At 35.6% G+C, this 26,752-nt stretch overlaps 1 long non-coding RNA gene across 1 annotated transcript; it reads left to right on the forward strand.

The window, feature by feature from the left end:
* The first annotated feature begins 4,974 nt into the window (after positions 1-4,974).
* On the forward strand, positions 4,975-6,368 carry LOC107985821 (uncharacterized). Its single transcript, XR_001739214.1, has 3 exons — positions 4,975-5,071; positions 5,196-5,313; positions 6,284-6,368. It is a non-coding gene; the product is annotated as an uncharacterized LOC107985821 (long non-coding RNA).
* The last annotated feature ends 20,384 nt before the right edge of the window (positions 6,369-26,752 follow it).

Consider the following 26,752-nt stretch of genomic DNA (forward strand, 5'->3'; position numbering starts at 1 on the left):
TTTTCCCACTCAGCATTCCATGTCTTTTCTCCTCATCTGTTTCCTGTTTTTGAATGCAATTTATTTTTTAAGTACCCAGAAGAGATACTTCAACATTTGTTGATACTAACTAGTTCTGATCTTTCCCGCCCCCATCCAGAAGCTCTGTGGAAAAACTCCAATTGCAAAATAGCAAATGAAAACGTTATGAAATCTCTCAGGAGAGCTAAATAAATGATTAGATGCTCAGGCGGCAAACTAAATTACCAGAATCCTCTCAGGCATATGTCTGAATTTGACAATCTTCCTGCTTCTCTGACTCTCCTATTGAACTGACCTCTGGACACCAATTCCAATGTATAAGTCTTTTCACACTGAACCAGTATATACATTATTATAACTGGAAGTCCTAGACTTGGATTACCAAAAAAAAAAAAAAAAAAAACTGAAAATAAAAGCAGTGTTTATCACTCCATTACAAGTTTAAGTGCTATGCAGACACCCTCGGGATTTAAGATCAGAAACTTTCCCCAAATTAGAATTGACAATGTCTTCGTTGCTGTATTTGGGTTTACCACTTTGGAGCACTGAGCTATATGATGAAATTATTGAGCAGGTAGAGCGATGAAAGCAGTTGAGTTGGAATAAAAGGCAATAAAGAAGAATATTACTCTCTTTTTGAACACAAACAGAAATCTGTGTTTGATAACTGTGAGATATGTACATTTCAAAGGTTAAGATATGGAGGGCATAAGAAAATAGCTCTTTCATGATTGTTTAAGTTAAAACTGTAGAAGCCAGCAAATATAAAAGATGAATCCTAAAAGGACAATTGTATAGAAGTCAACAACATCCTTCCCCTTAATAAAAATAAACTGACTAAAGGCAGTATGCGGCATTTCTGCTCTTTTAGGTTGAACTATATGTTTCCAAGTACTATATAATAATAATATTTCCCACACTTCAACACAGGAGTAGAGAAATCTGAGTGAATTGTTATCTAAATGAACAGACCTCAGGAAATGGAAAAGCTGTTCAAATCTAACATGGCAGCTTAAGAAACAAATTCCTTCCTGGGAAAACTTTGTAAGCATGATGAATGGAAACTTCTCCATTATCTCTTGCATCGCTGGAGCTGAAGCCTCTCCATTTTTAATTTTTAATTGGCTGTAATAACCTGAACTGTTGGTCAGCCACACTAAACAGCTTGGTTTAAAAGGAAAAAATAAATAAACTCCTACTCAGAGCAGATGTAAGTTCTCTGTAGGGAGAAAAATAGTCACAAAATGTTTGTGGAATATAAAATTCCAAATAAAAATCCTTTTAATTTGTTTTGGATGTTGAAGTAGGGGGAGTGCAGCAAGCAGAGTTTGTGTGCTTTGCAAGCAATTTCTGAAAATGACAATGCCAAGCCTATTTAGCTCTTATAATTACCTGTCATCGTGCTTCCAGGAAGTGGCTGGAGACAAGGGAGCTACACGCCTGGCAGTGCAGTGCTGCCTGGGAGATAAAAAAATGGGGACATGCCTGGGGCTTGCTCATCCTGATTGTGTTGTGTGGGAAGATAAGCCCACTGACTCAGTCCTCCACTGTAGGTAAAGCAGTTATGTGGCCCCAAGCAACTGCACCTCTGCTCCAGGGTGAAAAAAAAAAGCGTCAGACAAGTTTGACTGCACTACCAAGACTAGAAATCAGAGATACTTCTATTTTTAGATGCACTCAATTTTTTTGAAAAAGTATAAATCTTATAAATTGAGTTATTTGATTTGTTAATTCCTGCTAATATCTGCCTTTTTGATGTAATATTTAGTTTGACTTTAAACTTTGAGACCTTCCTGCCATCCTATGTCTCCTCTCAATTGCCAGCCCGGTTGTTGGGGAATATGAATGATTTCTTGGAGTGTCTTATCTCACTCCTTGGATATATTTGGCCATTTTCATGACCTAACCCTACCTCCAATTTTTGGTGTATTATAATATGGGTACATTAACTTTAATAAAGATATTGCTGTAGCAAACAAAAGATATTCTAGGAATACCCAAGGCTGTCCAAGCTCCACTGGACTTATCTTTCAGTTCTCTTCCAAAATATGAGTTAAGTGAAAGGTATTAACTCAAGAATCAGAAGACTTTATTTTAGTATATGCTTTATAGGGTGAATTCAGAAAACAAAACAAAAAAACAAAACAAAACAAAGAAAGACAATTTTTTTTGTTTCTTCATTTGTAAAACATGAAGTATATCTTTTGCCCCTCTGCTTCTGAGTGGGCTGTCAAGTATAAATGAGATACTATAAGTGAACTCATATTTTGATCTGTAAAATGCTGTGCAAGGCGTGCATGATGATAATAGTAGATATGCAAAACCTTATTCATGGTAAACAAAAAGCGCCTGGATGACAGGGGAGTCACACACGTTGTCCTGTTCTGGTTTGTCGTTTGGATGTGTTTGCCTTCTGTCCAAAATAAAAGGTTAAGGTACATTGTTGCCGTACGTGGTTGTGAAATCATTTTAATAAAACTGGCTAGAATAAATATGTGTGTTTGATCATTCATTTATTCACTTAAGATATATATGTGTATTTATTCATTTACTTATTCATTTGTTCTGGAATGGAGTTTTGGCCCTCCAGAGATTTTAAATCCCTTCTTCAGGTCCCTCTTATACCATTCCAGAACTTTGTTTGAGATTGCATGGAAATCTAGCCTCTCAATTAAGACAACAGCTGCTTTGTACAAGAGAATAGATAGGACATCTGCTTTTCGTACTGAAAGGTAATCCTTCTGTCAAAGGGATTTGCAATGTGTTGCAAGGAAATGATATTTATTGAGAATAGCGTTGGATCTGTATCTGTAGGGAGAATAAGTAAATAAAATTATACTAACACTTTGGTTGAGATATGGGGACAAAAAAGAGAGAGGCATATATGGGATTGTTACCTCATCATGTGTCTGTCTGTTTCTGCATTTGAGGCTTTGCCTAATTTGGATATGACTTTGTTTTGCAATTGAACTGATATGGTACATATCATAATGAGTTCATGGAATGCTAAGGGGCTGCATTGTGAAGCTTTGGACCCCTAGGGAGCCTTTGGTGTCCTGATATAGAAAGGATTTCTATAGGTGAATGGCCTCATGATACATTTCTTCCACAAGAAGAGACTGGTGAAACTACAAATTACTTGCTTCACAAGATCAGCATATTTTCAGAAGAACAGAAGATATGCAATGTTGTCAAAGTAAAATGAACTTCTGAGCCAAATTAATTACTGTCTGAAGTGTTGACATGCTTGAAACTTGACATGAATATACAACTCGATCAGACTTCATTTTGGCTTTTCGAAGAGTTGTATGCAATAGTTTTACTGTTCACTTGAGATACAATAAAACTTGAAACGAGAATGCAGTCAATTAAGCTGCCTGAAAATGAGATGATGACTATCGTAGAAATATATTGGAAAAGATAGAAGGGAAGAAAGAACATTTCTTCAGTGCGCACTGGATTCTTTCATGAATCAAATCAAGTGCTTACATGCTAGAATTAGGACCAGGTTCAATCCAAGTAACAGTCATCTTGAGACACTATGTATACATCAGTAGGACATGGGTAGCATTCTTCAGAAATCACAGCCAAACTCTGATCCCTCATATTCTGTATATCGATGGTTACATAGCTCAGCTTCTTTTTTTTTTTTTTTTTTTTTGAGATGGAGTCTCTCTCTGTCTCCCAGGCTGGAGTGCAGTGGCACGATCTCGGCTCACTGCCAGCTCCGCCTCCCGGGTTCATGCCATTCTCCTGCCTCAGCCTCCCGAGTAGCTGGGACATAGCTCAGCTTCTTTAAGGGTATGTTGGGAGTGCAATGCTCATACAGGGATGGAATAAGTAGAAATTATCATCCTTGGAGATGTACCACAAGGAATATTGACAAGAAAGATATTTTTAACTTGCTGAATTAATGACAATCATAGAATAATTTATGCCAGAAAATTCAATATTTTATGGATTAAATACTTAAATATAATTCTCAATTGTTATATCTTTTCTCTGTCTCTTTGTTTCTCTCTCTCTCTCTCTCCCTGTAAAATATGGATATAACTTTATTATGTGTGATATTAGAAACCAGGCTTGCCACACTAGGGTATTAGTAAAACCTTATCTTTGTTCTTATTCAGGTTCTCTTGTGTACTCTGAAAACTATATCATCCACCAATATTGACTAGAATTTATAGCCAAGTGAGGTTGGCAAAGAAAACCACTTAACTCTCCAAGTACTGATTTAAACCCAGCTGACCATACATTGACTTTCCAGCACTTACTATGGCAGTAGGCACTCAATATATATTTCCAGAATGAGTTAATCAGCATCTTACCTTTGTCTACATTTATACATCTCAGATTCATCATTTTATTCCTTTGCATTAGAATGGATCTATCAATGACAAAGCATTTCTGTCACCATTGCCTAGATGTGTCCAACATTCAGGCCTCAAATTACAGAAGTTTTACCACCCCAAATTGTATTTCTGAATGTTTTTAGTGCCCTGTCTAGGTATTTCCAGTCCTTTCTTGCTGTGTCAGATTCTGGGCAACATAGAACATGTATGCTATTTTGCTTTCCTCGAATGTGATAATGATGTACAAAAAGCCTGCAGTTTATGAACACCTGTAAAAGGCTGATGCAGTTGCAGAGGAAAAATATTGGTTGTTGTCATTTCCTAGACTAAGTGTTCACTGGACAATTTCTCTGTTTCCCTCTATTAAGTGATCCCTCTGCTGCTGCAGCTGGTGTTAAAATCTATTCCTTTGCAAACAAATGCTGCTTTCCCATGGTATTGTTGTTTATCTAATTTGGTCTGCTTTACATGTTGATTATAGCAAAAAAACCTCAATGTCAAAAGATCCTGGGAATAAGAAACAGAGCTTGTGACATGCTTCTTTTCTTTCTACAGTATCTATCCTTTTGCTGGCACCTCCTGTTCATTTTGGGAAAGACTTTTTTTCACCTGCTGAATTATATTCTTCTGTGACTATTCTCTTTATTGCAGTTGCTTGTTTTCAATTCACCACAAATGGGAAGTCATCATGCTGATAGGTGGGTATTACTTTGCTCAAGAAGAGGGTTACTGTGTGGGGAGGATAGAGCAAAGAGAATGCAGCACTAAGAAGGAAAAACCTTTTCTATGTATGTTTACGTATGTTTTCATTTTCCTCTGCAGATTACTTTCAAAGCCTTTGAGCTCACATTATGACCTTTTGTTTAGACATGGTTTTGTGGTTCTGCATTGATCGAGCCACTGCTGCATTTGGTTGACTTTTCTTCCAGCTGAGAAGCAGGTAAGGCACAGCAGTACAATAGAACAGAATTGGAATTAGGCAGCATGCAAATTGTATAAGTCAGGCCCATGGCCAGACAATAGCCCTTCACTCTGGCTGTAGTTGATAACCTAGTGAAGGAAAGCTGTCCCTTGATTGGATGAAGCCTGCTATTGCACATGCACAAAAGACCAAAATTAAAAAGAATTGACTGTGAAACAAAAGGAGGATTTCTGAAAATAACCAGAGAAAAGCACATTTTCTTCAACACCTTTTGCAAAGGAGAGAGCCAGTCTAAGAAGAGCTTGCATAGTCATTGGAATGTATATTTGACAGTAGGCTTGTTCTTTGACCAAGGGTAAACTAATGGGGTGAACTTTGGTCAAACAATGGAAATAATGGTCCATAAGGAAAACAAAACACTGTTCTATATGAGGAAGGAGCTTGATTTGGTTAGCAACCTAAAGAACTGAAATATCATGAGAAGTTCCACAGAGTCACATTTTTTAAAGGGTATTTTAAATTTCCCATGGTAAAGCCTTTTTGCTTGGGTTTGATTTATGTTTGCCCTTGGAGCTTAGCTATTAACTGTAAGGTTCCTTAACACAGGTCTCAATTTGTGGGGAAAAAAAAATTTCCAATTGAAGACTGGCAGAGTAGAAAGAAAAGCTAAGAGCCAGGAATAAATAATACTAAGATAACTCATAAGATCAAATCGATTCAACTAAAAATTTTTAAAAAATTAGTATGCTTTAAATATTTGACATTATGATAAATACCTCACATATATTATGATATGTGGTCCTTACAGTATAATCATTTGTAGCTATTTTGATTCTTATTTTAAATATTATGAATCTCATTAGGGCTATTTTAAGGTTCAGTTCAATAATTTACATAAGGTTTCACAGCTAGTAAGTGGCAGAGATAGATTGAACACAGCCCATGGTCCAAATTCCATATTCTTGACCACTGCACTATATTTCCCCAGATGAAGTCTTTGAAACTCGGTCCTTGGAAGCAGTCTGAAGAAATATGATGGCAATATGATGGCAAAATAAATTAGAGAAATACTGTGAGATACAACAAGTTCTCCTATCCCTTGGTGATCCACCACATTAGGTGATTGACAAACGTGCCATACATTTATCAATTGAAGCATGGTAAATTCTAAAGTTACAAAGTTTATTATATACTTTTAAGAAATCTAAAATTTTCTCAGGATAATTGATGATAAGATTCTTCCTTTCTCTATTACACCAAGCTTCAGCACACTCATTTTGCTATACTTTGGAGAACGATTCCCCATTTTAACAATGATGTTTCAAGCACCTGTAAAATCAAAGACACTGTGCTAGGCTTTGTTTATAAATTTAGTCTCTGCCCTTAAAGAGCATATGATCAAGTGAGGGGTTCAGGGTACGGAACACAGTGCACTAAAATCCATAATGACGACTGTAATTGGATAGAGAGAGGCTAACAGCTATGGGAGAAATAATAAAGGGGCAGTTCAGTGATTTTGAAGAACTGTTATCAACTGTTGATAGTGGGTGGCAAATAATTTGCAGAAAGACTGTCATTCCAGTATCCACAGCATAGGTATATGTTAATTGCCAATGACTTCAGTATCTTCTAATAAGGATAAAAATTTTAAATTTTGTTCAATCAAATGGGTTACAACCAGTAATGGAGCATGATGACTATATGGTGTTCAATCAGAGATTAATGTTAGGAAGATGATTGCTACCATTAATATGTTGGATCCATTCATAATATGTATGTTGACTATGCCAATGATTTTCTTATAGGATTAATAAAGAAGCTAATTCACAGGCCAGACATTATTATCTTTACATAGGAAATAATAATTATGAACAATTTTATTCCACCAACAAACAGGAATCCTTGCATTCTACTTAATAATGCATTTAATGTGTTTACCTATGTTGATCTAAAGGAGTACATAAAGGTATACATGCTTAAATTATACTACATAATGTAATGATTATAAAACCATATCGGAAATTAGTCTCTCTTATTAAAATTAAAAATATGTTTTAAATAGATAACTCTCAAGAATTTGTGATTGAGGTCAAATAACAGATTAAGAATTAAAAACCAACATCCTAAATAAAAGAACTAAATCAGATATTATGAAAGGCGTGACTCCAAAAATAAAACTTAGATGCAATGGAAGAAAGAATTGCATAAGTCAGATGATATGCAACAGAACGTTCATTATACCTTAAACGTTCATGTACTAAGGGTCTGTTTTGGCAAAATCTGAGAATAATTAGTCAAGATAAGCCTTAGAATTTTGCAGTGTATTCAATGAACAAAAATTTTGTTTTGCAAGAACTGATAGGAGGAGGGAAGGTAGTTCCTCAGCAGTTAAAAGTAAATTGGGCAGAAAAACACAACAGATGTCTAATTCTGGCACCAATTTGCAGTGCTTCCATTTTTGTGACCATTGGGTATAAGGCAATATACTGTCACAATCATGAATTCAGCTGGTTGACTAATACTAAGACCTATGGCAAGTAAGGTGTCTCTCTCTCTCCTGCTCTCTCTCTCACCCCACATGCCTCTCCCTCTCTCTGTCTTTTTAGACAGAGTCCCACTCTGTCACCAGGCTGGGTGCAGTGGCGCGATCTCAGCTCACTGCTACCTCCACCTCCCTGGTTCAAGCAATTCTCCTGCCTCAGCCTCCCAAACAGCTGGGACTACAGATGCGTGCCACCACTCCCAGCTAATTTTTGTATTTTTAATAGAGACAGGGCTTCACCATGTTGGTCAGGATGGTCTCAACCTCTTGACCTCCTGAACCGCCCACCTCGGCCTCCCAAAGTGCTGGGATTACAGGTGTGAGCCACTGCGTCAGGCCAGTAGAGTGTTTTTTGAGGGAAAGCTGAGAAGTCAAACTGAGTCTCAAGGCATCATTTGAAACAACAAAGATGTATACAGCATTAGCCTCAGTCTGTGACCAAGTTTTAGTCCTGTGGAGAGTTCCCTTCAGATCATTTCCCCAGAGACCAGGGCCAGCTTCTTGTTACTTTATATCCTCTGAAACAGTTGCATTGAAGCAAGGTTTTATTTCACATTGATGTAATTCTTTTCTTAGTGAAATTTAGCAGCTAGAGAAACTAACACATTTTCTGGTAGGCAGTAATGATTACAAGCCTGTTACATCTGCTTTCTTATCACAAAACTTGCAATTCTAGAAGCAACTGGATACTCGCTCTTCTTTATCTCTGGAGGTAAGATAATCACAAGTTGAGTACTTAGGAGTTTTGAATACACATGCTTCCTTCTAATGAATTTTGCATCTTCCTCTGATCTCTGTGATACAGAAATTGTGATGTGTTTTGTTCATAATCTAGAGCTTACCAAAGTAGTTTAAAATAAACTTGAAGATAAATTAAGATATTCAAGGCTGCTTCAGCAGTTGAAGTGTATTTACAGATCTGTTAATTAACTGAGGGTACTTCCAACTTTGGACTTCACATGCAAAACGTCTCTCAGTCCTCTGTATGCCTTTGGAATGTTCACTTTTTGATATCTGTCTTTTTAATTTTATAAGAATTTACTTCATTAATTTGTATGCGTAAGTCCCCATGTGAATGGAAAGTAGAGTTAAAGATCAGGAAGTGGGTTTCTTGTTTCAATTGTTGCCTTTATTTCCATCTGTTTTAGTGACTGGATTTAGAATTGTCATGAACAGCACACAGCTTTCTCATCTAGCCCCATTATATATATATATATATATATATATATATATATATATATATATATATATATATATATATATTCTCCTAACCCTTTTGCAAATTTAATTGAAGAAATAAAAGAGGAAAAATATCTGTCATATCGCTCACTGTAGCTAAGGGACTTTCCCAGAACCTTAATTTCTCTTAAGTGGACTATGTCTTCAAGATTTCTTTCCATCAGCATAAGAAATAAGAACACTGTAGTACAACACTTTTTTTTTTTGTAAGGAACTAGAGAAGATCCCAATACTCATAGAGGACTGTCTAGCCTCTTTTTCATGCTTTAATAATAATAATAATAAAAAGGTGGAGGTTTTATGAGAAAAAAATTAGAACAGGACTCCGAAGTTAAACATCAAGTACCCAGTACAGGCCTACATGTAATTGGCAGTTTGAAAATTGCAGTTTATACAGACAAAATGAACATACAATTGGGAATATATACTGAGCCATTTCTTTGCATTAAATTTTAAGAATTTTGTCTTTTTTGATATGGGCATTATCAGGATGCCTTTTTATCACTTCTTTCTAGTGGACATATTTGTTGTAGGTCTGTAAATGACCTTCCCTTGCCTCTGGCTACAAATTCTAGATGTGGGGGATCCCAACTAATGTTTATCTTTAGGTGTCAGTGTTTCTTTAACTGTCAATAGACATCACAATAGCTTTTATTTCATTCTGTTATATGCTATGCTTTATAACATTCAACATACAGTGGGGTCTCAGTAAATATTGCTGACAAAATGGGTTGCCTGCAAAAGCCAAAATTTTCAAAATGCCAGCTACATGTAGTCCCTGTGCTGGAGCTTTTTTTTTTTTTTTTTTTTTTTTGAGATGGAGTCTTGCTCTATCACCAGGCTAGAGTGCAGTGGTGTGATCTCAACTCACTGCAACCTCCAACTCACTGGTTCAAGCAATTCTCCTGCCTCAGCCTCCCGAGTAGCTGGGATTACAAGCACGCTCCACCACGCCCAGCTAATTTTTGTATTTTTAGTAGAGATGGGGTTTCACCATGTTGGCCAGGATGGTCTTGAACTCCTGACCTCGTGATCTGCCTGCTTCGACCTCCCAAAGTGCTGGGATTACAGGTGTGAGCCACCACGCCCAGTCTGGAGCCTTTTTGTTTTGTTTTTTTTTTTTTTTTGGCCTGATTGCAGGGTGCAGTTTAACATTCTTCTCACAAGTTTTTCAAAGTTTGCCTGATGGCCAGCTTTGTGACAATGTCTGTCTCGGTGACATCACTTTGCAATTAACATTAGTTCTTACAGTTCTGATAATGGCTCCGAGATTTATCCGGAGTGAAATGAAGGAATGACTATTTTCTTTGAAAACTAGTTTGTGAATCCAACAGAGCTCTTCTCAATGAATGTCCTTGATGTGGTTTCAGACCATGATTTTAAATTTGTCTGTCTCAAAGGGGCTGTATTGTGAAGGTTGCAAGCCACTGTTCACATACTATGTTTATTGTAGTGCTACAACAAGTAGTTTTCTTAATATTGCTGTTCACCTCATCTTTGTTGTTATTGTTCATGCACCTGGAGGCTACTTGGCAATGGGTGTACACATAGAAAATAAGAAACCAGCAAATTTCATTGCATAATAATAATCTAGGAAAGGCAAGCACTGTGACAGAAATTATTCTCATCATATTACTCTGCTTTCTATGAAATACACATGCTCACATTCACAAATTGGGTTGCCTCAAGCTTTGAGGATAAGCATTGCCCTGTTCTGTCTCCAAGGAGAAACACAGTAAAAACCTGAGATAGTGCAAGCATTATGCATGCTCAATTCACTCAGCTGCAATTTGGGGGAAATTATAATTGTATTCCAGTCATAGAGCATATTAACTCACTTTTACAAATTATTATATTTGCTGTGTTTCTGTGTGTGTGTGTGTATACACATACAGGCATGCATGTGTATGTGCAGTATTGGAAAATGAAAGAAATCACTTTTTTCTTTTTTTATTAACAAGTATCAATTGTATATACTTATGGTGGACAACATATTTTGATATATGTATCAATTGTGGAATGGCCAAATTAAACTAATTAGCATGTGCATTTCCTCACATAGTTTTTTTTTTTTTTTTTTTTGTGGTGAAAGCTCTTAAAATCGACTCTCTTAGCAATGTTTAAGTGTACAATATATTGTTATTAAATGCAGTTACCATAACATATATTAGATCTCTTGACCTTATACCTCTTGTCTAGCTGAAATTTTGTATCCTTTGACAACCTCTCCCATCCTCCCACCCCCAGCCTCTGGTAAACACCATTCTACCCTCTGCTTCTCTGAGTTCAACATTTTTAGATTCCACCTATAAGTGAGATCATGAAGTGTTTGTCTTTTTGCTTCTGTCTTATTTTACTTATCATAATGTCCTCCCGATTCATACATGTTGCAAATGACAGGATTCTCCCCTTTCTAAAGGCGGAATTGTATTTCATTGTGTATTTATACCACATTTTCTTTACCCGTTCATAGTTGATGGCTAATATAATTGGAATATTGCATCCTCCAAATCATAGGTCGAAATTTGCTTTCCAATGTTGGAGGGGGGCCAGGTGAAAAGTGTTTTGGTCATGGGGGTGAACCCCTCATGAATGGCTTGGTGCCGTTCTAGAGGTAATGAGTGACTTCTTGCTCTATAATTTCCCTTGAAAGCTGGTTGTTAAAAAGAACCTGCTACGTCCTCCTCTTTCTTGCTTCCTCTCTCTCCATGTGACATGCCTCTTCTAACATAATTGGAAGCTTCTGGGTTATGTACCAGAAGCAGATGATGGTCCCACGCTTCTTATACAGGCTGCAGAACTGTGAGCCAAATAATTTTTTTAAATAAATTACTCAGGTTCAGGTACTGCTTTATAGCAGCATGAATGGACTAAGATAATGGACTGAGATTGATTCTCAGCTATTGTGATAGTGCCACAATAGACATAAGAGTGCAGATGTCTCTTTGACATACTGATTTCATGTCTTTTGGACTTATACCCAGAAGGAGGATTTCTGGATCCTGTGGAAGTTCTATTTTTAATTTTTTGAGGAACCTCCATACTGTTTTCCAAAACTGTTGTACTAATTTACATGACTACCAGCAGTGTACAAGAGTTCCCTTTTCTCCACATCTTTGCCAACACTTATCTTCGTTTTTTTGATAGCAGGCATTGTAGCAAGTGTGAGGTGATATCTTGTGATTTTAATTTGTATTTCCCTGATGATTAGTGATGTTAAACATTTTTAACATACCTGTTTGCCATGTGTATGTCTTCTTTTGAGAAATGACTACTCAGGTCCTTTGTCCATTTTTAAATTGGATTATTATTACTTTCTTACTATTGAGGTGTGGTTCCTTATATATTTTGGATATTAATCCTTTGTCAGATGTATGTTTTTCAAGTACATTTATCCATTCTGTAGGTTGTCTTTTATCTCTGTTTGTTGTTTCCTTTGCTGTGCAGAAGCCTTTTGCTTTAATGCAATCCCATTTGTCTATTTTTGCTTTCGTTGTCTGCACTTTTGTGGTCATACCCCCCAAAAAATCATTGTCCACACCAATGTCATAGAGTGTTTCTCCTATGTTTTCTTTTAATATTTTATAGTTTACAGTTTTACAATTAAGTCTTCAATCCATTTTTTGTTGATTTTTGCATATGGCATGAGATGCGTGTCTAATTTCTTCCTTCTACATGAGGATATCCAGCTATCCCAACATCATTTACTGAAGAGACTGTCATTTTCCCATTGTGTAGTCTTGGTACTTTTGTCAAAAATCAATTGATGGTAAATGCATAGGTTCATTCTTGGGATCTCTATTCCATTCATTGGTCTATGCATGTATTTTTATGCTAGTACCATGCTATTTTGATTACAATTGTTTTATAATATGTTTTGAAATTAGGAAGTGTGATGCCTCCAGCTTTCATCTTTTTGCTCAAGATTACTTTGGCTATTTGGGGAATTTTGTGGTTTCATACAAAAAAATTGTTTTTTTCCCCTATTTCTGTGAAAAGTGTCAGAAATTTGGTAGGGATTGCATTGAATCTGTATAGCATTTTGGGTAGTATTGACATTTTTACAATATTAATTCTTCCAATCTATGGACAATCTAGATATCTTTTCATCCATTTGTGTCTTCCTCAGTTTCTTTCATCTATGTTTTATAGTGTTAAGTGTACAGATCTCTTACACTGTTGGTTAAATTTATTCCATTTGATGGTATCTATTGTAGATGAGATTATTTTATTGATTTCATTTTTGGAAAGTTTTCTCTTAGTATGTAGAAGTGCTACTTTTTTTGTGTGTTGATTTTGTGTACTGCAATTTAACTGAATTTATTAGTTCTAAAAGTTTTTTGGTGGGGTCTTTAAAATTATGTCATCTGCAAACAGACAGTTTAACTTCTTTCTTTCTTATTCAGATGACTTCTACTTATTTCTTTTTCCTAATTGCTCTGGTTGGGACTTCGAGAAATATATTAACTAGAAGTGATGAGAGTGGGCATCCTTGTCTTGTTCTTGATCTTGGAGGCAGATCTGAAGTTTCCCTGGATCCCCTTAGAAAAGTTGCTGAAAGAAACTAACAAATACCTAATCCTCCTACTTTGTTTTCTTCCCAAGTTGGATGGCCAACTAAACACATTGCTTCTTTTATTCTATCATTCTGTTCATTGATTAATACTCTCTGTCCCAATGTTCAAATTCTGTGATTTAGTGGACAGGCAATGGGTTTTGGCATTATACTGACCTGGATGAGAATATGACACTAATGTGTGTCACAATTATCTTAAGACATGCTAGAGGTAAGCTAAGTATCCAGTTTTGTAGTCCAGCAGGTTGAATGCAAAGATTGCAACATAATCAACAACAGGATACAAAGTGTTCATAAAGAAGAACCAGACAAAGCAGGTTGTTGGAAGGAGAGTTTATTGTTCTTTTTGCTTACTTTTTCTAATTGTATGAATTGAACTTAATTTCTACCATTAATACGCATAAAATAAACATGGTATAACGCATGGAACAATGCTCCTAAGAACATGTACAACATAAAAAATAATAAATTTGTAGGGCTGTTTCTTTTAATTCATTTATTATCCATAAGTATTTAATGCGTAACTAATACATGCCAGACACAGTGTTTAGGACTGGGAATATGATGTTGGTTAAGTCAAGGTCCTAATTTCAGAGAATACAGAGTATAATCAAGGTGATAAACTACAACAGATCATGTCACTAAAGTGACTTAGGTGTAAGGATACAAATAACTATAGGGTTTAATGGGTCCTGGGAAATAAGGAAACAGAAAGAATGGTAGACTGTGATTTAATGGTATGCTACGGAAAGATTTCTGAAGACTGTGGTTTAGCCTTAAGAAATGTATAGGAAACATTCAGTAATAGCAATAATAAAATTTGGTGGAACATATGGAATTTCATATAATTAAGGCAATACTCTGTGAATGTTATTCTACATAACTATTTTTAATACAATTTTGGCATCAAAGAGTTTAATATTTTAAACTTAAAGTAAAAATATTTGTTTTACCCACACAGTTTTTTTTTTTTGCATCAATAGTGAGTAGGCAGATAATTCTGTCATGTCTATCAACAAGTTAGAAAATAGGCTATGTAAAAATCTACTTATTCAATAATTTATTTATTCATTATTTAGATATTTGTTGAGCACCAGTAGGTGCTGTGTCTAATTTCTGTTGGCAGACATAAAATCAAATGCATAAGTTAAAAATATAAATAAGATAAAAGATGTTATTCTTGCAATAATTAAATACAAAATCTGGATTATAATCAGTAAAATTTTGGCTGTACTTTGTATTGATCAAATTGATAAATTGTCATTTAGTAAGGGAAAAATGAAAAAATAGAGCATATTCAAACTTATGCAATCAGAGTGATTACAAGGGAGAAAAACACATTCCTTTAATGGTTGACTCCAGACTCAAGTGATTGAAAAATAAGTCTTTTGAATGGTCAGCCATTCAAATTATTTTCTTACATGCCTGACTCACTTGCTTAGATTTGGCACAAATTCAACCAAATTAAAAATAAGTGTATTCATTAATGCATGTTTTTCCCAAAAGGAAAAACTCAGGGAAAAAAACCCTATTTTATTTATATGATTGTGAAATTAACATGATCTTGTCTGCAAAAGAGAAAAAGATGTTGATTTATTATTTCCTCTCCTAGTGTCAATTTTATATTTTTGGTTTGCTCATTTGTTATTTTATTTTTAATTTTTATCTCTAAATAGTAGGTATATATACTTATGGAATACATGTGATGTTTTGATGCAGGCATACAAAGTATAATAGTGATATCAGGGTAAATGGGGTATCCATCACCTCAAGCATTTATATTTCTTTGTGATAGAAACATTCCAATTCTATTCTTTTATTATTTTAAAATGTACAATAAATTATTGCTAACTATATTCCACCCTATTGTGCCATCAAATACTAGATCATATTCATTCTATCTAACTATATTTTTGCATCCATTAACCATTTCCACAACCCACCCCACTGGTGTTAGCTACTTCAGATAGTACTTTTTCTTAAAAAAAAAAAATGATTTGGCTCCTGATTGGAAAAGAGGTATCTGTGGCTAATTGCTCCTTGAGATAAATGGTGGAGAGGATACCTGAGTTTTACTAACAATGCCAGTGACAATCAATGTTAAATCCAAAGGCAATTTCTGAGCCCTCATCTTATTCTAATTGTCAGTGTCACATTTGTGACTGCCACAATTTTTTTTACACAACACTCCGAGTTTACTTCCTCCTCTATCTCTATTTTTTGTTTGTTTGCTTGCTTTTTTTTTTGTTTTTATTTTCTTCATCCTGGACTCTAGATGCAGAAGCACCAAGAAGTTTGATCTTTTTCTGTCTTTTCTCTCTAGACTTACTCTTTTAACTGAATTCATATAGTCCCATAGCTTTAAATATGACCTCTACCTGATCATTTCCATTTTTTTCTTCCATCTGGACCTCTTTAATAAAATCCAGTCATCTCTATTGTGATGCCTAAAAGAGTCAGATTTAACAAGTTCAAAAATAAACTTTTAATTCAAAATGTACTTAACCTACTCTTTCCCTGGTTGAATAGGTCACTATGCGGATCTACATTCTATCATTTGATGGCAGTAGAAACCAAGGCTACTGTCTGTCTCTCTCACTTATGAACATGTCATCAATTATGCCTTTAAATGATACATAAATGTGACCACTTCTCATCACTTTCAACCAGTTTCAGTTTTCACCTGGCTATTTGCAGTAGTGCCTCAAATAGTTTCCCCAAATCCTCTCTTGCCTGCTATTTTCTTTCCTGCCTACATCAGCCAGAGTGATGATAATGCAACAGATATGCGGTCATATCACTTTCTTCTCAAACCTTCAACTCGCTGTGGTCTTGGTCCTGTATGTTTCAGTTCCAGCTGGTTTTCTGACTACCTCTCTGATCACTTGATAACTTCATCACTCTAATTCAACCACACCATCCTCCTCCTCTTCCCTTAAACACACTCACCTTAGGCCCCTTGAGTGCTAAATGCTCTGGCTAATAAGCTCTTCCCTATGTTTACTCATTGTCTCTTCCTCACTTTCTGTAGATATCTGTATAAATATTCCCTTAACAAAGAAATCTTTGCTGACCACCCCATACAAAATAGCATTCCTCACTCTTACTTTCTATCCAGTTATTACCACGTGGTTCATTTTATAAATGTATTTATTTCTGTCTCCCACCGCTAGAAGGTAACCTCCATGAGAGTGAGGACTTTGATTTTATTTACTGTTGTGGCTCAAGCACCTTAACTAGTGCACTAAAAAAAAGTGGGCACTAAAAACAACACATAACTTATTTTCTGAATCTATGAATTAATAAAAGTATACTCAAACTTAGAGCAGACTTTATTTGTCTCATTGCTTTTGAGTCAGATTAGTTGCATAGGACAATATTTTTTATTTTCAAGTTTAATCAGGGTGGAAGAGATAAAGATACGTTAATTTCAGATTTAAAGGAGTAGTGATGCAGGATTAGCATATTATGGCTTACTGTTTGGGTAGAAGCTTCATGGGGTGAAAGTCCATGCTGACAAAACTCCAGAAATGATTAATGTGGCTCACCTGTAACTCACAACCAGCAATTTCTCATAGTTCTAGTAAGCAAGTCTGCTGACTCTCAAGAATTATCCCAGTAAGTAATAAATCACAAAAGCAATTAAAATCCCCCTTAGAGTTCAGTAGACTTCTTACATTCGACCCCACATCCAATTGTCTAGGAGAAATTATTGACTTAAGTTTAAGATCAGAAAACAGTGCAAAGCAACTTACGTGAAGTATTGTAAGATAGGTTATCTTTATTTTTTTCCCTGTCTGTTTCTCAGCTCCCATGTTCAAGAATATAACCTTGCCAGAGAATGACATGCAAAAATGTTGGTTATAGAATTGACAAGAAATAGTCTACCTTCTTAAGTTGTAAATCTACCCACTTAAAACTGGAAAATAAAACTTGATCTGATATCAGACTTATAATTGAGCCCGTTGTCACCTTAGTCACAAATAAGGCACTGAAAAGAAATGTATTACTAGGGTTGATGTGTGTCATGATACTGGCTCTGACAAAGTCTGTGAGGCAGATAATGTGCTGGGATTCTAGAAGAAGAACAAAACCCTTCAAGTTGCTACTCGCTTTTAGCCTTACGTCTCTTTTTCTCTTCCATGTTTTCCCCACACAAACACTGTAAAATTCCAGGAATTGTACATTGCAGCTTCTATATTCAGACCTATTGCTCTTTTGGGAGTATATACTTGCTCTGAAAATTCTTCTCTTTTACTATGAGGGATGGGGGAAGGTTTTTCATTTCTTTTTGTTTTTGGTACCTATTTAGTTCTTCTAAGGTTCACATTCTTTTTTTTTTCTCTTGGTACCAGGAAGAAGAATTGCTTGGAAGTACAATGAAATAGAAGAAAACCTCAGGAAGTAGCCTTTTTAAGGGTACTGGGCACCCACCTGCATGTCTTATGGCAGAAGTTACAGGGCAGAGACCTGTTGATCACTTGCCTTCCCTATCTCTTATCTATCTATACTCATCCTCCTTTCACCCTCCCACAAAAAATGATGGAACAATTATGTGAACTCTTTTATTGTTCCAGGTTCTCACTATAAAAATTGTGAAAAGATCAACTAAATAATAAATAAGAAAAGACTGTGAGATGCTGAGGAAAAGTGCTGCATTTATAGAAAGTGCCATGTTATGATATTTTTTTCCCTACAAAACGCTCTGCACTGCCATAAAATACCCGAAGACTTTAGTAAAAGTGTTAGTTATTTCTGTACACCTCTCTGGGAATATTTGTAGGTGTTTCACCCCTTTTATTTTTCTCTTTTCTCCCACACCATTTTCTTTCTTCTTAGTCTGTTTTAGTTCCATCCTTCGGAACTCTCATTATAAGAAATTTCTTCCTAGATTGCAGTTTAATATCTAAGTCAATCAGACACTCTCTAAGGTTAGGAAAGAAATTAGAGGTCACCTAAAGTAGAGAAAATGAAGCAAAAATAGATGAATCCTTGAAATAACATTTTATTGTCAAATTATTTATTATTCATACTGGGACAAAACATTAAAAGAGTCAGAAATAAATACTCAAGGTCTAGGTATATATACTTAGAAAGCAAAATATGGCACACACAGCTGGAAACAGCCAAACTAAAAAAGCTAGACAGTTTCTAAGGTAGATGATTTTACTCTCCTAAAGAAATCGTCTCAAAAATTCATCTGCCTATCTTAGGACTGTTCATTTTCTAGTTTTAACGTGGAGTTCACAGCCTGAGTCGGCATGAAGAAAACGACCTCTGGGACTGAGTAGCTAATCTAATTGATGTGAACGTGGGTCCATAGTGGGTACTGTGGTGCCAGTATAGGCACTGGAAAAGGTAATTTGTTAAATGGCTCCCGGTGCTGTGTTAATTTGTCTCACACCAGGAGCTTTTGCTCTCAGAATGTAGCATATACTATTCTCCTGGCTCATGAGGCCTGGGCCTAGGAAGTAATGAAGCATGGTGAATTAAGCCGCTTAGGGCATAATATGCAAGAGGAGGAGCAAAAAGAAAGCCTTGGGGAGGTTCTTATTTAGTATTAATTATTTTTATTAGACATTGCCTTTGAGCCAATATATACCTATATATTAACCAACATTTTGAACTTGTAGCTAAGATTTTGTCATGTTTATAGGGCTAACAGGCCCTTTTTGACTCAGACCCTACAAAATAAATTAGTAACTTACTAGTTTATGGTATATGTAAATATGTATTGTGTGTTATGTATAATATGCAATATTATAGATAATTAAGATAGTCATTCCTTTATTAGTAGAGGGACCACTTATATAATAAAAAATAATTCCCTTATTAGTGGAGTATTTCTGAGCACTCTGACTCAAGTAAAAGGACATCTAAGGCCATATGTACAAAAAATTTAGAATGTTTTTAGTTATTGCCAGAATTGTTATCTTTATTTTGTAGAGAAATTTAAGTTCACGCGGCTACTAAGGGGCAAATTCATAATCCACATTTTTTACTCCAAACCCTGTGCTATTTACTCCAGGCACATATACAGTCTAAGTGAAAAACAACTTCTTACCTGACCAATGATACTTAGCCATACTTTGCTAAGTATCGGGAAGGTAATTACAGCAGTTGCTTGGCATCAACTGGGTTCAAGGCAATGTTGCACAGAGGAATGGATGCGCAGTGAATTTAATACTGACCTATTTCTAACTTCTTGCTCTTTCATTAACAGGCTGTGTGATAATAGAAAAATTACTCAGCTACTCTGTATATCAGGTCACAATTTATTAAATCAGTAAAGGTGTTGGTTTATTCCATTACATGCTAACACTTTCTGAGTACCTATCGTGAATTGGGCACTACACTGTGTGCTAAGATTCAAAAGAGAAACAAGGTACCATGCCCCAAAGTGTTTAAAATATTGTTGGAGAAATTAGCTTAGATGAATCCTGAAGTCCCTTCAGGCTTTACATTCTAGGGTCTAACAGAGTGCAAAAGACCACAATACAAGCTGTTCATCACTGGCAATCCTGACAGGCTTTTGAGAATTTAGAGAAAGTCTGACCAGAGGCATTGCCACCAACAGAAAGATTCCATAGACACAAATGGCCACCTGGTATCGGAATAATTTCTCCTGAGCAAATCACAGCTACTTGACCAAAAGAGTTGATAAAAGAAAGAAGGCTCTAAAAGTGTTAAAAACAAGCTGTGCAATGGAATTGGAATAAATGGAAAGAAAGGAGTCTCTTTGACAGAAGCAAGACACTCAAGACCCTCCAGGCTTGTTTTCATTGTTAATTGCTCTGCCATGTTTTTTCTCTTTCAATGTAGGAGAGTTCTGGGTTAAGAACAAGACTTTCCCCCAATCTCCAAACACCTAGCAGTTGTTTTATTCCCTCTAGCCAGAAAGATTCTACCAGAAAGTCTTCATAGTCCCATAGGCCACACAGAATGTAACACTTTTACTGCAAGCAAGAAAGCAGGATTTCAAGTCTGGGAGGGCTATTTTTCATAAAGTTAAGGGAAGAAAAGTAATACCTATTTATCTACATATCATACATGTGTGTAGTTGTGTGTTTCTGCCATGAAAACAAAAATATTTGCCAGAGGGTGTTCAGAAAAAAGCACTGTGAGAATATGTAGCTGTTCCCTGCTAAAGGCAGACTTCCCTTGACAGATTTGAGCTAGCTAACTAATTTTCCCCTGGGTACAAAGCGGACTTCATGGATCTCAGAACATCTAACATTGAAATGCATGCTCAGGATTTGCCAATGCCAAGACCACAAGACTTTCATATGAAGATGAGTCTAGTAATTCCAAAAGGCAAGAGGCATAGCTGGTGAGTACCTATGCATTTTCTTTTGAAGGGAAAGGACTGCCACTTAATGTTTTTAAATATTAGGATCACCATCCCAGGACACATATTTAATTCTGTTTTCTCCACGATGAATTTGTATGAGTATAGTTAACAATAATTTCTAACTATGGACACACTATTCAGTCTAAATCCAGTTAAGCACATAGGCCCGAGTCTACTAATCATTTTCTCTGAGCATATATTTAGCAAAGGAGTATTTCTACTAACCTACTGGTAGCAAGTGTAAGTGCAGGTTCAGAAATAGGAGTCCGTGTTCTTTGTATAGAGGTGGCTGGCTAATATGCCACGTTATGAAACCAGAATATTAGAGCCAAAATTAATCTAAATGCTCTACTTAATATGTATGTGAGAGAAATACAACTGGTGTCTAGTTTAAAAAAATAAGAAATATAGTAGGGAAATGGAGACCCTTTGCATGATAATGCCCCTGTGAGAGGACACTTTTGTTCTTAGATATCCTATATTAATCTTTAGTTTTCCACTTCCTTAATACCAATGTAACAAGATATAAAGCTACACAAATGAAAAAGAAGGGACTAAGAAAAAAGGAGATTTGGAGTTTTACAGCTATTTTAATTAGAGGATGAAAACTGTTAATTTCATTTCTAAAAGACCATGGTCTTGTTTTGACAGAATTAGAAGACTGAAATACATGGTGATTGACCTTGGAGAAGATTATTGAATATGTTAATGGTTAAACATTTGCTTAGCCCAAGGTATGCTCCTGAAATAAAACAAATATGATGACAAGGCCTTCCTGGGAAACATTAGCAAATATTATACTTCACATAAACTGAGTCTATACAGGAAAAGCTGATTTAGGTTAAGACTAACATGATGTTTTTCTTTTGCTCATATGAGGAGTTTATGGAGTCTATTGTGTAAAAATAAGTGCTAGAATATAGTCAAAATTATTAGATGCAAGGTTAATTTTTGCTGATTTTGATAGCTGTTCTGTGATTATATAATGTCACACACTGAAACATTTAGGATTTTAAAGGCATGGCTCATGCAACTTATTTTTAAATAAAATATATACAAAGAAGGAGTGTAGGGAAGAGGGTATTAGGTGTAGAGGGAGACAAAAAGAGGAAGAGGTAGACACTCATAAAGCACATATGGGTGAAGGGTTTACAAGAATTCTTTGTGCTATTCTTGCAACCTGTGTCTATGTTTAAAATTGATTCAAAATTTAAAGTCTTTATAAAACATGAATTCTTCTATGTGAATATATTACAAAATAATTTTCTGGGAAAAAACAGAGTAGCAAAAGCTTACACCTATTAAGAATATCAATCATGCACATTCTTTGGTTTCCTCTGTTCTATGTGGCTACTACTGATCAACAGTGGCTCATTTCACTAGTGTGTTCCAGAAGAAAAGTTGCACTTTCACTGGCTCCCTTGATATTCCTGAATCACTGTCATAAATACGGACAGAAAATTCCTCTCTATTCTTCTATGTATAGTTTTTATAGAGAATGTGAATTTCTTACTGGATGTAAACCAGAGAAGAAGCTGGTTCTTTTAGAGGTGTGTGTGTGTGTGTGTGTGTGTGTGTGTGTGTGTGTGAGAGAGAGAGAGAGAGAGAGAGAGAGAGATTGAGAGACTGAGAGAGAGAGAGAGTTGCTTTTGAGAATGGTTTGGACCAGTGTACAGTAGAAATAACCCTGTTTTAGGCTTCAGGAGACTTGGAATTTACATGGGGTTGTCTGTCAATCTAGCTGAATAACTTGGGAAAATCATTTAACCTTCCTGAGACAGTTTCCCTAATCATGAAATAGTTGGGTTTCCGTACATTAGCACTGAGCAAGAAAATTTTCTGTGATGAAGTAAATGTTTTATAATCTGTCCTGTTCACAGTGACAACAACAAAGCCCTGTGGTTATTGAACGTTTGAAGTGTGGCTAATGCGTCTAAGGAAAATAACTTTTAATTTTATTTAGCTTTAATTAGGTTAAAATAGTCACACACTGCTAGTGGCTACCACGTTAGAGAGCATAGAACTAGATCATTTAGATTTTTAATAATGACATATCTATGTTTAAGTTCTGGTTTTACTACTTAGTGATTATATAACATTGGGTACATTGTTTTAATTTTTGGGTCTCAGTTTTCTCATGTGGAAAAAATAAAAATAAAGGTGAATCAATATCATATACACTGTTTTAATTCTAAAAAAGTGCTTTCACTCACCCATATTTTCTTATTTCTGAAATCAGATTGCATTTTCTAAACAAAGCAAAAAAAGAGAACACCTTTCTGGCCACCTGAGCAGTTGTAATCTCAGCTGCACAGAGAGGAAAGCTGTTTCTTTATTTTTACCTAAGTTATATTATTTGCTTTGGTAAGGACCTAATGTTTATATTAGGTTTGCATTTGGATCCATAATTCTATCTTAATATGCTTTGAAAAAGATTATTTCCAAATATAAAATAAATAAAAGTTACTGTATTTCCAGAAGGTAACTTCTATTATAAGTCTAGCAGTAACATCACAGGTAGAAATTCCAAGTCTCAAGAGTAAACTGAAAATGTTCAAATCTAGGAGAGATTAAAACAAACAATCTATGTGTCAGGAAGTCCTGACACTTGGTAACTTGGTCTATCTCTTAAAAGCTCCAAGTGGTTTTCAGAAGAAGCTTTTTCAATTTAAGGGGAAAAATAAATCTATAAATCTAATAAAATAATAAATTCCTTAATCTATACTGTCATCCTAAGAATGGTAAGTAGATAAAAACCATGAACTTGCACTGTGACCATCAATGTCACCATGTCATTATTTATGAATACACATGACCAAGAATAATTCAGAAGAAGCTTTGAACTCAGAATGTAAGTGCACAGACTTTGACCAAAATGTTAAAAAAAGATAGAAGTTACATGTAATTGTGAACCTAAATGTATGTTCTTCTCTGCATTTCATGTGCACATATAATCTGTGTTAAATTTGAATGTTTGCTGTTTATTTCCTTTTCTTTACATGTTCCTGTCCAAATTCCCAGGAAAAATATGTGCTGTCTCATGCTAAGTTTTTGCACTGGGCCACACCAGGCCCCCTAATTTGTTATAAATGAGCTATCCAAAAAAGAGGGAAACAAGAAATAGTATGACGTGCTCTTCTATCTTTTAGGAAACAGATTTTCCAAGTGAGGACTAGAGTATACTACTTGTGCCTCAGTGCTTCACAGAACTCTTTGTGAAATGAACTGATGAATTGGCATCTATTTGTTGTTTCCCGAGTCTACCTTTTCATCATTCTTTTTTTTTTATTATTATTATACTTTAAGTTTTAGGGTACATGTGCACAATGTGCAGGTTAGTTACATATGTATACATGTGCCATGCTGGTGCGCTGCACCCACTAACTCGTCATCTAGCATTAGGTATATCTCCCAATGCTATCCCTCCCCTCTCCCCCCACCCCACAACAGTCCCCAGAGTGTGATGTTCCCCTTCCTGTGTCTATGTGTTCTCATTGTTCAATTCCCACCTATGAGTGAAAATATGCGGTGTTTGGTTTTTTGTTCTTGCGATAGTTTACTGAGAATGATGATTTCCAATTTCATCCATGTCCCTACAAAGGACATGAACTCATCATTTTTTATGGCTGCATAGTATTCCATGGTGTATATGTGCCACATTTTCTTAATCCAGTCTATCATTGTTGGACATTTGGGTTGGTTCCAAGTCTTTACTATTGTGAATAATGCCGCAATAAACATACGTGTGCATGTGTCTTTATAGCAGCATGATTTATAGTCCTTTGGGTATATACCCAGTAATGGGATGGCTGGGTCAAATGATATTTCTAGTTCTAGATCCTTGAGGAATCGCCACACTGACTTCCACAATGGTTGAACTAGTTTACAGTCCCACCAACAATGTAAAAGTGTTCCTATTTCTCCACATCCTCTCCAGCACCTGTTGTTTCCTGACTTTTTAATGATTGCCATTCTAACTGATGTGAGATGGTATCTCATTGTGGTTTTGATTTGCATTTCTCTGATGGCCAGTGATGGTGAGCATTTTTTCCTGTGTTTTTTGGCTGCATAAATGTCTTCTTTTGAGAAGTGTCTGTTCATGTCCTTTGCCCACTTTTTGATGGGGTTGTTTGTTTTTTTCTTGTAAATCTGTTTGAGTTCATTGTAGATTCTGGATATTAGCCCTTTGTCAGATGAGTAGGTTGCGAAAATTTTCTCCCATTTTTTAGGTTGCCTGTTCACTCTGATGGTAGTTTCTTTTGCTGTGCAGAAGCTCTTTAGTTTAATTAGATCTCATTTGTCAATTTTGGCTTTTGTTGCCAAAATTGACAAATTTTGGTGTTTTAGACATGAAGTCCTTGCCCATGCCTATGTCCTGAATGGTAATGCCTAGGTTTTCTTCTAGGGTTTTTATGGTTTTAGGTCTAACGTTTAAGTCTTTAATCCATCTTGAATTGATTTTTGTGTAAGGTGTAAGGAAGGGATCCAGTTTCAGCTTTCTACATATGGCTAGCCAGTTTTCCCAGCACCATTTATTAAATAGGGAATCCTTTCCCTTTTCATTGTTCTTATAGCCTCTCTTTCTTCTACCACAATCCCTTCAAAGACTATGGTGCTTTTAGATGCTCGCTTTGGAAAACATACTCATACCTTTCATATCTAATCCCTGACAACCAATTCTGAGCAATAAGTTTTTTAAATCAGTTTCATCTTGACTGTAACATTGTTTTTCCTGAGGTGTGACCATGCACTGTTGACATAAATCCCAAGTGCATCTGTGACAGGCCTGCCAGAGAGACCAGCTTCGCCTCACATGTGGGTTAACAGGAAGTGGGGAAAAACTTGAGAAGCTAAAGAAGAGCCATCTACCAACACTTGCACACACACATTTAAATAACTGTATTCTGTGAAACAACTACCTAATGGGAAAGAAGTTAATAACTAATGTATAATCAAAGTTGGGGATCTAATGGGGATCTAGGAAGGGTTCGGTGTAGCTTATGTTTACTGAATGAAGCTGGAGCTGGTGAGAAATAACTTGTTAATGTATCAGCACATGACTCACTGACATCATAAACATGTAAGGCATTATGTGGCTCATATGATTTAGAGACTGAAAAATATCTGGAAAACAGAATAATTGATGTACAATGTGCATATCTTTGAACTTAAGAAGACTGCTGGACTTTGAGATGCAAAAAGATAGCATATTGTGAAAGACAGTCAATTAAATTCATGCTTTTTGAACAATTTTTGGCAGATGTATTTTTATTTTTAAGGTTAACATTAGTTATTACAAATAATTGGTTGACTACAGCTTTAAATAAATACCATGTAGGTCATGCATGTCTTGAAAATAGATCATGTATATGTTAAAAATATTATACCTCTAAAACATATATCTGAGGTAAAAAAGAACAGTGTTCAAAATGTATATTATGTATAATCATCAGTTGAAAATCTCCTGCATCTATTACAGAAGATTTTTTTTTATTTCAGGGGAAGACTGCGAGATTCATTGTAAAAATATATTTTTATGTTCTTAAGAAGAAAAAAATTGTTATGATAATACTTTACATTAGGTTGATGTGAAAGTAACTGCAATTTTTGCCATTAAAACTAATGACAAAAACCACAATTACTTTCACACCAGCCTAATACATAGTAATCACACTATTTAGTAAAGAAATGAATGAATTATTCAATTTTTCAACAAATTAGTTCAACAAATACTTATTAAATACCTACT

Source organism: Homo sapiens, chromosome 2 (assembly GCF_000001405.40).
Source record: "Homo sapiens chromosome 2, GRCh38.p14 Primary Assembly".
Classification (NCBI taxonomy): Eukaryota; Metazoa; Chordata; class Mammalia; order Primates; family Hominidae; genus Homo; species Homo sapiens.